This window comes from Homo sapiens, chromosome 15 (assembly GCF_000001405.40).
Source record: "Homo sapiens chromosome 15, GRCh38.p14 Primary Assembly".
Classification (NCBI taxonomy): Eukaryota; Metazoa; Chordata; class Mammalia; order Primates; family Hominidae; genus Homo; species Homo sapiens.
Window position 1 is genome coordinate 30,428,109 of NC_000015.10, and position 13,685 is coordinate 30,441,793.

At 38.4% G+C, this 13,685-nt stretch overlaps 1 long non-coding RNA gene across 1 annotated transcript in view; it reads right to left on the bottom strand.

Moving 5' to 3' along the window:
- LOC105376704 (uncharacterized) overlaps nucleotides 1-13,685 on the bottom strand; it is a 51,865-nt gene that overhangs the window by 8,964 nt on the left and 29,216 nt on the right. Inside the window, exon 2 of the long non-coding RNA XR_932048.3 lies at nucleotides 3,579-3,662. This is a non-coding gene — a long non-coding RNA (uncharacterized LOC105376704). The remainder of the gene's footprint in view (nucleotides 1-3,578; nucleotides 3,663-13,685) is intronic.

Here is a 13,685-nt window from a genome sequence, read left to right on the forward strand (position 1 = left end):
GGACCTGCGGGTGTTCCCCCCATAGGAGGCTGCTACTTTCCCACAAGAAATCCATTACTGACTACCGATAAAAGAACACATCGTTGGTTTCTTACAATATACAAATAGCTAAACTTTATATAGCCACGACCCTCTTCTAGCACTGCTCTAAGCCTTTTCCTGCTCTGAAATAGCTACTATTGTTACCTCCATTGTAGAGAAAACAGGTGCCGGAGGCTGTTGTGGAAGGCCCAGGGAAACTGACTATGAAATTGACTTGTTGTAAGTTTCAGACTTAAAAGTTCTTCCTGCTCTGCGCCTTACATTGCTACATTTTAGTTAAGGTACCTCTTACAATACTGGTCTTTTCTGTATTTGGAGGGACTTCTCTTGCAAATTGAAGTTTTTTCTTGCGCTAAGCATTTGGTCATGAGATTATCTGCGTTTTACATCAGTTTAAATACCTCTTTAGACATTGTTCAGTTAGGAATGTAAATAGGAGCTAACATTGTGTGTAAAAGGAAAGAACATCTGATTACAACCACTTTTGTTTCATAATACAAATATAAATCAATATGTTATTGGAAATGCAGGCTGGGAGGGGAGGGAAAATATGCATAGAGAAAAGCCCCATCTCTGCTTGGAGTTCAGCACTGGGTCTCTTTTTCCTTTCCACCTTCCTTGTCAAGGCTGCCACAGTGACAAGCACACAGGGGTGCCTTTAGTGACACCTGCTGCGACAGACCTGGCAGAACGGATTGCAGATTTGCATGTTTCCTGGCTGCCTCTGCTAGCCTGAGTCAGCAGCCCACTCCAATTCATGCTGAGCTTAGACAGCTCAGGTTTGCAAAATTATCCCTTCCCTTGGAGCAACCGCTTTCCAGTCTCTTCATCATTCCTAAAGGAGAATGACATACATGCCAGCATGACAGAGGTCCAGAAATTTATAGAAGCTTCATTGTGAGCCTATATCCTTAACAGGGGTTCAAACTACCAACACCGAATGAAGAGAGAGGTTTTGCAGTAAAGCAGGAAGTCATTAAAATAATGAATCACCCAGCTAGGTTTTGAGCTCCTTTCCCACCAATTTAATGGAAAGTTTTATTGTCTTTACAATGTACACTTTCATAAATTTTGCATAAATTTATTATTCACATCTTAACATAGGTAACTCCTTAGTGTTTGATCACTGAGCAAATTATATGCAGCAAAACAATCCTATATTTTGGTGAACTCATAGCTTAGAAAATACTAAAGACTCATTGTAAACTGAGGGCAGCATTAAGCAAATTATATTTACCTTTGTGACTGCAAAACTTAATGATTCAATGCTTTTCCCATGAAATTTATCTTCCAATACTGATAGTTTTTTAAACAAAAAATATGAATTAAATATCAATTAAAATTTTATCATTGTTTTCAGAAACTGTGACTTCACTAGTTATGAACAGACTTGAAATGTATAGTTTTTAAGTTTGGAAATTCTTTGTAGTCTCATTTACTTTTCCAGGAAGGAAGTGAGATATTTTTTGCCACTGTTGCCTGGTTTTTGTTTGTTTTTTGATCATAAACAAAACTTAATGGAGCCTCAAATCTACTAACTCGGTCCTCCTCTGGCAATATGCCTTTTTCTGATTTCTAGATATCACTTGATATTTTTTAACACACTAATTTTATTATTTAAAAATTTATAAAAGTACTCAGAAGTAAGAGGCAAATTAAATTTGAAACCTTAGTGGTAATACCATCATCCAAAGTCATCATCAATAATATTTTGGCATATTTTATTTTAAAATACATTTCAGCACAGTTTAGTTATATTTGTTATATCTGTATCAATAAACTGTTTTCATATGTCATTACTTTTATGGATATAATTTTTGACGTGCGACTAATACGAAATCTTATATACTTGCTATAGTTGACCTTGTGAGACATTTAGATTTTCAACTGTTTAGTACTTTAATAACCAGTTTTTATTCTAATATCATTATTAGAATAATAATATTACTATAGTATTATTATTATTGTAGCAATAACTTGTTTTTAGAATAAATATCCTATTTCTCATTTAACTTGATCGGATCCGTGCATGGACAATTATGTTGGGAACATAGAATGTAACTGGCCCTGTTTCAACCCCTTAGATGTGGCCCTCAGTTCAGGGAAGGGAGGAGTTCTCTACTGGGCTGATAAAGCAGAATTCAGAAACATTGTTTTCTTCTCTACCTGGTGTCTTACAAAACCAGAAGATGTGAGTGTGACTCGTAAAGGCAAGAGCATGTATATTATGCAAAAGCAGCCTGAAATATTTTATTCACAGACAGACAGACAATGCTTGACTCCCTGCTAATCTGAAATACTTCGTGGGGAGGGCCAGGGAAATCAAAACAAAATTTCAGAAGTAGAATGAGCTATTTGGTGTATGTCTCCAAGGCCAATAAATAACAAGAAGGAAAAATAAATTTCTTTGCTAACAACAAGAAGGAGAAATAAACTTTTTTGCTCTAAAATATTTTCCAATTATCTCCACGACACTGGAGGGAAGGACTAACAAAAAAAAAAAAAAAAAGAAAGAAAGAAAGAAAAAAAAAAAGAAAAGAAAAAAAAGGTGGGGCATGGTGGCTCATGCCTGTAATCCCAGCACTTTGGGAGGCCAAGGCGGGTGGATCACAAGGTCAGGAGATCGAGACCATCCTGGCCAACATGGTGAAACCTGGCTCTACTAAAAATACACAAAATTAGCCGCAGGCACCTGTACTCCCAGCTACTTGGGAGGCTGAGGCAGGAGAATGGCATGAACCCGGGAGGCAGAGCTTGCAGTGAGCCGAGATGGCGCCACTGCACTCCATCCTGGGGGACAGAGCGAGACTCCATCTCAAAAAAAAAAAAAAAAAAAAAAATTAACCATCACAGAGGAGCAGAGAAAAACCTTCTCAAAGACAGAAGTCATTGATTTATTTCCATCCCGGCACAAGCCCCTTAATTCTGTAACTTGTCCAGAATGGTTTCCTGTCACTGTAGATTCTGCATCAGAACATCCTCTTATGCAAAGCTAAAAAACTCCAAACCACCTCTGTTAACTGTGCGGTGCTCCATGGTTTCACACAGTCCAGAGCTGCTTGTGTTTATCAAAAATGAAGCTGAAAACAAAATTCTTCCTTCACACAACCACTACATTCCATTGCACATTTACCAAAGACATTTACCACATTGGCATTATTTGTGCATCCATCAAGAAGTGCTGAAAAGCATTCCCCTCACACACTGCATGTGTCCTGTGAGTGGATCTTCCATTTTACTTGCCAGTTCTGGAAAACTTTGAATTTGTGTGTCGATGGAAAATTAAAGTTTAGTGGCATCTTTGCCCCACATTCACCCAACTTTTCTAAGGAACTATTTCAATGCTACTTTTCACTAGTGTCACTTTTCAGTCTTAGCCTCCTGGAGTACAACTTTATTAGAAGCCCGCAAAGCACTAGTGTTAAAATGAGAAATAGTAAACATCTGATTCTGTTGTGTTTTAACTCCATGCTTTTCTCTAATGTTTCATTGTTTTGAATTTAATTCTTTGTGCTTCCCACGTGAATGCAACTTACAGTTTGAATGTCTTCTTTCTTCACTAGCCGATGCATCTGTGCCAGTAACACATGGTGATTCTGTCCTTTCACCTTCAGTTATGCCTGTAAAACCAAATTCAAGACAGATGATCCTCAACTCACAAAGGAGTTATAGCTCATCATCAGTTGAAAATATAAGCCGAAAATGCATTTAAGGCCGGGTGCAGTGGCTCAGCCTGTAATCCCAACTCTTTGGGAGGCTGAGGCGGGTGGATCACCTGAGGTCGGGAGTTAGAGACCAGCCTGGCCAACATGGGGAAACCCTGTCTCTACTAAAAATACAAAAATTAGCCAGGCATGTTGGTGCGCACCTGTAATCCCAGCTACTGGGAAGGCTGAGGCAAGAAAATCGCTTGAACCCAAGAGGCAGAGGTCGCAGTGAGCCGAGATCATGCCATTGCACTCCAGCCTGGGTGACAAGAACAAAACACACTGTCTCAAAACATAAAATTAAATTAAATTAAATTAAAATGCATTTAATACACCTAAGCTAACATCATAGCTTAGCCTAGCTTACCTTAAACATTCTCAGAAAATTTACATTCACCTTCCATTGGGCAAAAATTATCTCTCACAAACCCACTTTAAAGTGTTGAATATCTCATGTAATTTATTGAATACTGAAGTATGGTTTCTGCTGAATGCGTATCACTTTCACACCATCATAAAGTCAAAAAATTATAAGTCAAACCATTGTATGTCAGGGATCATCTGTCCATTAGAAATAGTACTTCTGAGTAAAACGAGGACAAACTCCTTTGGTCTTCATGTCCTCAGAATCACTTTCATAATCATCTCTTGGTTTACAAGGTGCATCTTTTATTGGTTAAAAAAATTAATACAATTTATTTCACTCTCAAATTAGGTTTAATAATAAATAACACAACTTTCTTTTGTTTTCACTAATAATGCTAACATTGGCTTGATTTAAAATTAAAATTATTGCAAAAATAAGACTTTATAGAATAGATGTTCCCATTTTTCAGATGTGTGAGATTATACTATAGTTGACAAACTAACCTTAAAGAACACAGCTTGCAATGTGGTCCTTGTGTATGTGACTCGTTTGCAGCTCACAGCCTCTGCATCTTTCCATCGAGTCTGACAAAACCTGAGTTGGTCTGTAACTGCTCATTGAGACAAGTCCCCTGATGTCACATACAGATGCTGGGAGAATGTCAAGTTTCTATAGAAATTTCTAAACATTTACCCTGAATTTCTATGTTTCTGTCATTACATAGAGATGACAGAGTGTTGACAGACTTTGAGTGGTCTTTAGTAACCAATTGTTGAAAGTCTGGTTTAGCTAAACTAGTTTGTAAGTACCTTGGCAGGTGCCTTTGCTGTAGGAATTCTCAGAGTCTCTATAAACTAATGAGCATTGGAAATCTGCAGGGGGGAAACAGAGTATGCAGTATCCCCCATGATGATTCAACCCCAGATTTTATTTTTCACTGAGCATCTCACACTTAGTAGTGTATCTTTTCTATGCATTGGGCACTGGGAGACGACGTGTAGTCATCTCAACAGAGACCTGGCCTTCAGACGCCACCACTCACTGCCGCTCTGTCCAGGCGAGCATCAACTTGCACTGTTTCAGAAGCAAAAGGAAAATGAACCGCAGCCACTGAAGTCCCTCAGAACTGAGGAAAAGTTATTGACTTTCCTGATTTGTGTTCAATCTGGCTGGCCATGGGTACAGACACAGCTGGTTTCCCCATTTGTGAGCTGGACGGATTTAATTCCTGGCTGTTTGAATGATGTATCCCCTCATCAGTGAAACCAACAGAGTAGCTCAACTTAATTTTCTCTTTCTATGGCATGCCATTTATACCCATTCAATTATGCCTGTGTCAATTAAGTCAAACATTCTTACTGTCTCTATTTCTAATAAAAAGTGGTAAACACTCGAAAACCCCTTTCATAAATAGGCATGTATAAAAGCAATGTTCTTAATAAAAATGTTGGACTTAATAAAAGTATTTTAAAAAACAGTAGGAACCATAGTATAATAAAGGCCTTGGCCGGGCGTGGTGGCTCACACCTGTAATCCTAGCACGTTGGGAGGCTGAGGCGGGCAGATCACGAGATCAGGAGATGGAGACCATCCTGGCTAACACGGTGAAACCCCATCTCTACTAAAAACACAAAAAATTAGCTGGGCGTGGTGGCAGGTGCCTGTGGTCCCAGCTACTCGGGAGGCTGAGGCAGGACAATGCTGTGAACCCAGGAGGGGGAGTTTGCAGTGAACAGAGATTGTACCACTGAACTTCAGCCTGGGCGACAGAACGAGACTCCGTCTCAAAAAAAAAAAAAAAAAAAAAAAAAAAAAAATATATATATATATATATATATATATATATATATATATATATATATATATAAAGGCCTCATTTTGCAGGTGAGGACACTGAAGATTATAGGAGAAAGAAGGGCTTCATGCAAAACCACGTTCCTGATTGTTGGCAGAACCAAGCCGACAACCTGGAACTCAAGTTTCTCTACTTATAGTAGACGCTCAAAGAATTATAATACTTTATAACAACGTCATAATCATTTGACGTTTCTAAGCTGGTCATGTTTTCTTTCATGTGTACTTCTCCCCTCTCAACAATTACCGTGCCCTTGGCAATTTAATAAAGCAGGATAATATTCAACTCAGTGACCTACAGCTTGACAAGCATCTCCTGCTCCCAGAAAACAGAAGGTGTTGCTGTCAAACTAATACTAAATAATAATTTTCTGTAGTCCTAGAGCCTCTGGACTTCCCAATTACACGGCCAATAAACCCCCTCATTGTCTGAGCCAGTCTGAGCTGGGCAGCCTGACTGAAGTCTGGAACATCCTAACTGGCACAAAGGCCCTTAAGATGACCCCAAGCCACCTGTCTGGCTTTCTCTCTTGTCACTTCCTTCTACATCCTCTCTGCAATAACCAAATTAGATTACTCACCATTCTCCACACTGCCTTGTGATTTTCTTTCTTTTTTTTTTTTTTTTGATGAAGTTTTATTCTTGTTGCCCAGGCTGGAGTGCAGTGGTGTGATCTCAGCTCACTGCAATCTCTGCCTCCTGGGTTCAAGTGATTCTCCTGCCTCAGCCTCCCAAGTAGCTGGAATTACAGGTGCCCAGCATCATGCCCAGCTAATTTCTGTATTTTTAGGAGAGACAGGGTTTCACCATGTGGGCCAGGCTAGTCTCCAACTCCTGACTTCCGGCGATCCACCTGCCTCGGCCTCCCAAAGTGGATCTTCTTTTTTTACCCATGCACTTGCCCAAGCTGACTTTCTGGCTCAAACCTTTCCCCTGGCCTTGCATCCTCTCTATCCATCTGCCCAAACCTCCCTCACTCTCCAAAGTCTCATTTCAAATGTTGCCTTTCCCTGAAGCTTCTCCCGGAATGACCCATCTCTCCCTCCTCATTCTGATCATTTCCTCTTTGAATTCCCGTAGTGTTAGGTATGCCCTCCTCTTCCAGCACTGAATCCAGCCTTGCCTCGCATTAGAGTCATTTGTACACCTGACCTTAATCCCCCTGAGGGCAGGGATAGTTTGTGTTTATCCCAAAGTCCTGAAACAACTAGTACAGAACCTGAGACACAGGAAGGCCCCAGAATTGCCTGCCGAATAGAACAGTGATAGTGCTGAATTTGGTTCCTCCTTTAACCTGTGTGACCCCAGACGTTTGTTTTCTATGAAGTCTCAAAACATGGTTATGTTTCCTAATTTACAACGAACACATGGAAACCCATGTTTTGAAAACGGGGGTGGGGAGGATGAACTGAAGGCAGCCTCTTCAGCCAAGTTCCAAAGGCCAGGTGGCCCACTGTGAACCTTGTTTAACCACACAGAACATATGAATAGCTACAACAAGGGATCTAACAGTTACCAGAATGTTTTCAGAAAGGTGACTTCAGAAGTGCCAAGCTTCAGGAAGACCTGGACTGAGAAGGGATCAGACAACTTTAGGAAAGCAGGTACCAAACAGCCCTTTTACAGTTTACACACAGGCCTTGGTGTCAGAAAAATACTGGTTTGAGTACTGGTTATGCATCAGAGATGCCACTCTGGACAAGCTCCTTATGCTCTCTGGGACTCTGCTTTCTCATCTAAAAAATGGGGATCACCTGAGGTCAGGAGTTTGAGACCAGCCTGGCCAACATGGCAAAACCCCATGCCTGCTAAAAATACAAAAATTAGATGGGTGTGGTGGCTCGCACCTGTACTTGCAGCTACTTGGGAAGCGGAGGCAGGAGAATTGCTTGAACCTGGGAGGCAGAGGTTGCAGTGAGCTGAGATCGCACCACTGCACTCCAGCCTGGGCAACAGAGTGAGACTCTGTCTCAAAAAACGGGGCGGGGGGTGGTGGATAATAATAGTGCCTACCTCAAGAGGTTGCTGTGAACACCAGAAGAAGCAATACACACCAAGTGCCTACAGATAGTAAGCACTTGGTAAAAATGTAACTGCCATTAACAATAAATATGATGCTCACAGGGTCAGTGGAAAAAGTAGTGGAAAGTAGGAGTGGTGGGAACAGAACAGGAGGGAACAAAGCACCTCTGAGTAGACCTTTCTGTATAGCTCCGACTCTCCGTCTCTTATTATGTTTCACCCTAATAATTCATTAAAACTAGGATAGGAAGGCTGAGGGTGTTTTTGGAATACAAACACTAATGAACCAAACTGCATTATAAATAGTGGCCACACTGAAAGGGATGAAGAAGAAAGTAACTACTTTTTTTTTTTTTTTTTAGACAGAGTCTCCCTTTGTTGCCCAGGCTGGAGTGCAGCGGGGCTATCTCAGCTCACTGCAATCTCTGCCTCCTGGGTTCACGCCATTCTCCTGCCTCAGCCTCCCGCAGTAACTGGGACTACAGGCGCCCGCCACCACACCCAGCTAATTTTTTGTATTTTTAGTAGAGACGGGGTTTCACCATGTTAGCCAGGATGGTCTCGATTTCCTGACTTCGTGATCTGCCTGCTTCGGCCTCCCAAAGTGCTGGGATTACAGGCTTGAGCCACCGCGCCCGGCCCCCCCGCTCCATTTTTTTTTTTTTTTTTTTTTGAGACGGAGTCCCGCTCTGTTCCCCAGGCTGGAGTGCAGTGGCACAATCTCAGCTCACTGCAAGCTCCGCCTCCCTGGTTCAAGCCATTCTCCTGCCTCAGCCTCCCAAGTTGCTGGGACTACAGGCACCCGCCACCACGCCCTGCTAATATTTTTTGTATTTTTAGTAGAAACGGGGTTTCACCGTGTAAGCCAAGATGGTCTCGGTCTCCTGACCTTGTGATCCACCCACTTTGGCCTCCCAAAGTGCTGGGATTACAGGCGTGAGCCACCACGCCTGGCCTCCCCCTGCTTTACTTGTATTAACCAAATATTTATGAGTCTATCTATCAAGCGTTCAAATTATTTTACATGTAATCGCCAATCTCCAGAAAATAAATGGGACCACAACAAATTTACCCTAATTTCTGCAGCGAGCATAAATAATTGCTTTCAAGGGATGCTTGAATGAAATTACTATCCTGACTGTAGGGGCAGGGGCTTGGTGAAGATTTGTCCTTTGTGAGTAATGAGAAGAGTATACTTGGATATAAAAATAGTGAAGAAATAAGTAGTTTTTATAAAAACGCTAAATTCCATGTTTAGCAAAGTTAATGAGCCCTAAATTCCTAAAGCTGAGTATTAGTGTGTAAATGAGTACTCCAAACCAACAGAGAATAACCTTGTAATTCATGGATATTTAGCTAAAACTTCATATGTTCTCATCATTCTGTGTCTCCTAGTTTTAGTTCAAACAGATGTTTTCACTCCTAAAAGACTCAAAATTTCTGACAATGCCCTTTATTAATGTTACTTTTTGAGAAATCACTTATTAAGTAAAAATTAAATTTACATTTTTCAAAATTGCATGTTGGGTTAATTTACCAAATCTTTTATCTGTTTTGTGTTTCCAGTTAGCCATTTTTGTTTCTGATTTGTAAATATTCAAAAATATTTGTTGAAATTACAAATTTTATTAATTGATTTTTGAGGGGAGTAGGGTGCGTTAGTTACTTTTCATTTAAATTCTGTGGTGTTTTTGCATATTCAAATTATTGTATTGTGAATAACCTGAAAGACAGTAGCTGTATGATCGTTTGAGGTAATGGTAACAATACTCAAGGGTTGAAAAGATATGATTTTAAGTATGAGCTAAGGAGACTGCCCTTTATGTAACTACGGGATGATGTGAAAATCTGTTTTAACAGCATGATTAAATTTGGAATTCTTTTTTTTGAAGTTTTGTAAAAGGGAGGCAGAAGTTTAAGGGAAAAAGTTGGCCAGGTAAACTTGGATAGTTTTAGATCTATTAGTGACAGAATACTCAAGCTCTTGAAAATAGGAAAAGTTGTTCTTGCCATGTCAAAGGACAAGGGCTGCCATATGCTAATCACTGTATCTTTACTCAGATCCTATAAAATGATTTGTACAGAGAAGGGATTTAGTAAATCTTTACTAAATTAATGTTAGATGATGGAATGGATCATTGCGGCTGAAGGAGAGAGTAGTGAAAATGAGGATATTAGGAAAGGAAGTGGATGATTTGCTCAGATGTTGTTAAATTAGGTTTTGATAGAAAAAACCTGGAAAAAAAAAAAAAAACGACAACAGCCTGCATGACTTCTTAAAGCCCCCACCTCTTAATACTGTTTCAATGGCAATTACATTTCACATGAGTTTGAAGGGGAACTTAAAACCATAGCAAAGAGCACATTATATTCGTTGTTTCTGTGTAGTGCTGCTCTTTACCAGGCTAATAAATCCTGGTAGACATGCAAGAGCTTGCTCTTAATCCAAAATAAACAAAATGTGTTTTACTGAGAAAATTGCAGACATATCAAAGGGTAGTTTGACAGCACGGGTACAGAATACTATCAAGACATTTTCTTCTGTTTTACATACATGGGTAATTCTTGCTTGAATGCAAGAGGGCTGAATACCAGCTTTATTTAATATATTTTGTGTCAACTTCTGTATACAGATTTTTTTTTCTTGAGGTGAGAGAAGAGGAAAGAGGAGAACGTTAATTCCAGATAGCTTTAAGCAAATGTTAGAAAGGCGAACATTTATAGGTTTCCAAATATCTTTTGGCTAGCTGACATTTACAAACACGGAGCTAGGTAAGCTTTTCCCCCTAGCAATATTAAGGCTCTGGCAGCAAGTAAAGGATATGTGAAGTGAAATATGCCTTTCAAACATAGTAAAGAAGAAGACTGTTTGTAACCACCGTTGGTGAAAATCACGAGAACCAAGTCTTTCTTGTTATTTTAAACATCCTATAAAAGCATTGCAAAAGTTTATATTGCTGGTTAAAATATTTGGGACTATTTTGTCCATTTCCACACCTTACTTTAAGGTCCAGGCATTTGTTGAGAGGGAAATTGCCTATTTAACTGAAGGAACAATATGTTTTAAATTACTGAGAGTACTCTGTTGAAACTTAATGAGAACAGAAAGCAGCATTAATAAGAAAAATAGTATTTACAAAGATTGCTTAAGGATGCAAGCTGGGTACCAACTAATTGTAATTCTTTAATTTCGGTATGCGTGCAACATCCCATGTGTATGAAAACAAAATGTGTATTTCCAAGCAGTATGTTTTAGGATCAGAGAATTTCAACCAAATATTAAATTCTCAAATCGTATGCAAACAAGTGTCAATCATGGCTTTAACATGACAGCTGGAGGAAAAAATTCAAGCAACATGTGTAGATAATTGTGGTTAATGTTTATCTGTACATAGGAAGATACTTCAGATGTGTAAGTATGCAAATAACTCTCGGATTTCTAATTACTGTATTTATCAAGTTCTATATGCTGTCTAAATTCAGAAATGAAAGCAATTTTAAAATAGCATGCATATTATAATTACAATATTAAATTGAGCTCAACTTTCCTAGCTATTCTCTGCCTTTCTGTCTGCCTCTGCCTATGTCTCTATCTCACACATGTATGTGTGTATGTGTATATATACCCTCACTTGTGAACATATATTCATAACCACATGTATAAACACACAGTATAAAAGGATATTAGAAAAGGAAGTGGATGATTTGCTCAGATTTTGTTAAATTAGGTTTTGATAGAACAAACCTGAAAAAATACGTTAAAACATATGAGGACATATACCAAAATATTATCACTAGTTAATTTTAAGACAAGCCTGATGGGTCATTTTAATTTTCTACTTTTTACCTGTCTGTTTTGATTGCAACTTTAAAAATAAGCCTGTGTTACTTTTTAAAGAGAAAGAGAGAGAGAGCAAGATTTGCCTGTTTTGGAAAATTGTTTTAAAGGAACACCACAGGAAATGAAGTAATTCTTAAGTGCCTGCCATTTATATCTAAAAATGGTTTTCAGTAATGGGATAGTTCTAGTATCAGTAGGGAGATCCATTATCACATGCAGATTTAACCTTGTTGTTGTAGGCCAGAAATATTTAAAACCATTTAACTGACTTGAAGAATTCTTCAATTTTTGAAAATATATTTCAAAAGAAAAACTTTCCAGTTAATTTATGAAGTTAACAAAATATTGATTCTAAATGGTATATTTATAAAATTTTATTCTGTAATTGGTTATTGGTAGTGTAAGGAAATAAAATAGACTTTTATGTGCTCATATTGTAACCAGTGATCCTGATAGCTATATTTAGTTATTCGTTCTAATATTTTATTTTAGATATTCTACATATACAATAATGTCCTTAGCAAATAATGACCTGTGTATTTCTTTCTTGCTAATTCTTACTTTTTTTTTCTTATTGAACTGACTAGGGAATTTTGTTTCTGATCCCATAAGGAAAGCTTTCCATATTTCCTTATTAATTATAATATTTTTGTAAGATTTTATGATTATCTTTCACCAGATTAAATACATTTCATTGTTGTTTGCATATTAAAAAATATATTCTGCATCTGTTGAGATGAGATTTTCTTCCATATTGTTAATATAGTGAATTACAATAATTGATTTTGTGATATTAAAATAATATTTTATTATTGAAACACAATTTGTTTTTAATTTACTGTACTTTTTAAAATTAAGATATAATTCATACACCATAATATTTGTCCTTAACAAGGATGCAACTCAGTGATTAGTATATTCAGAAGGTTATGGTATAATCACTGCAAATTCCAGAATAATTTCATCACTGAACAACAACAAAAAAATCCTGTGTCTCTTATTAGCCAGTCCTTGTTTGCTCTTCTCTCTAGCCCCTGGCAATCACTGATCTACCTTCTGTCTCTATAGATTTGCTTTTTCTGGGCATTTCATATAAGTAGAATTATAGAATATGTGACATTTTGTGTCTGGCATTTTTCACTTAATGTTTTCATGATTCATACATGTATCATGTATCAGTAGTTCATTCCTTTTATGGCTAAATTATATTCCATTGTATGGATATACCACTTTTTGATTATCCATTCATCAATTGATGGACATTTGCACTGTCTTTATGGCCATTACAAATAATGTTGCTATAAACATTTGTGTCCAGGTTCTTTGTAGACATGTTTTTCATTCTTTGGGAGATATTCCTAAGGAGTAGAATTGTCCAGTCATTTGATAACACTGTTTAACTTTTTTTTCTTTTCTTTCTTTCTTTTTCTTTTTTTTTCTGAGACAGAGTCTCACTCTGTCGCCCAGGCTGGAGTGCAGTGGCGTGGTCTCAGCTCACTGCAACCTCCGCCTCCTAGGTTCGAGCAATTCTCCTGCCTCAGCCTCATAAGTAGCTGGAATTACAGGTGCCTGCCACCACGCCCGGGTAATTTTTGTATTTTTAGTAGAGATGGGTTTTCACTGTGTTGGCCAGGCTGGACTCAAACTCCTGACCTCAGGTGATCCTCCCGCCTTGGCCTCCCAAAGTGCAACTGCAAAATTGTTCCTACCATGGCTGCATCGTTTTGCGTTCCCACCAGCGATTTATGTGGGATTGTTTCCACATTCTCAAACATACTTGTTATTTTCTTTTTGATCATAGTATGAAATGGTATCTCCTGGTGGTTTTGATTTGCATTTCTCAAATGACCA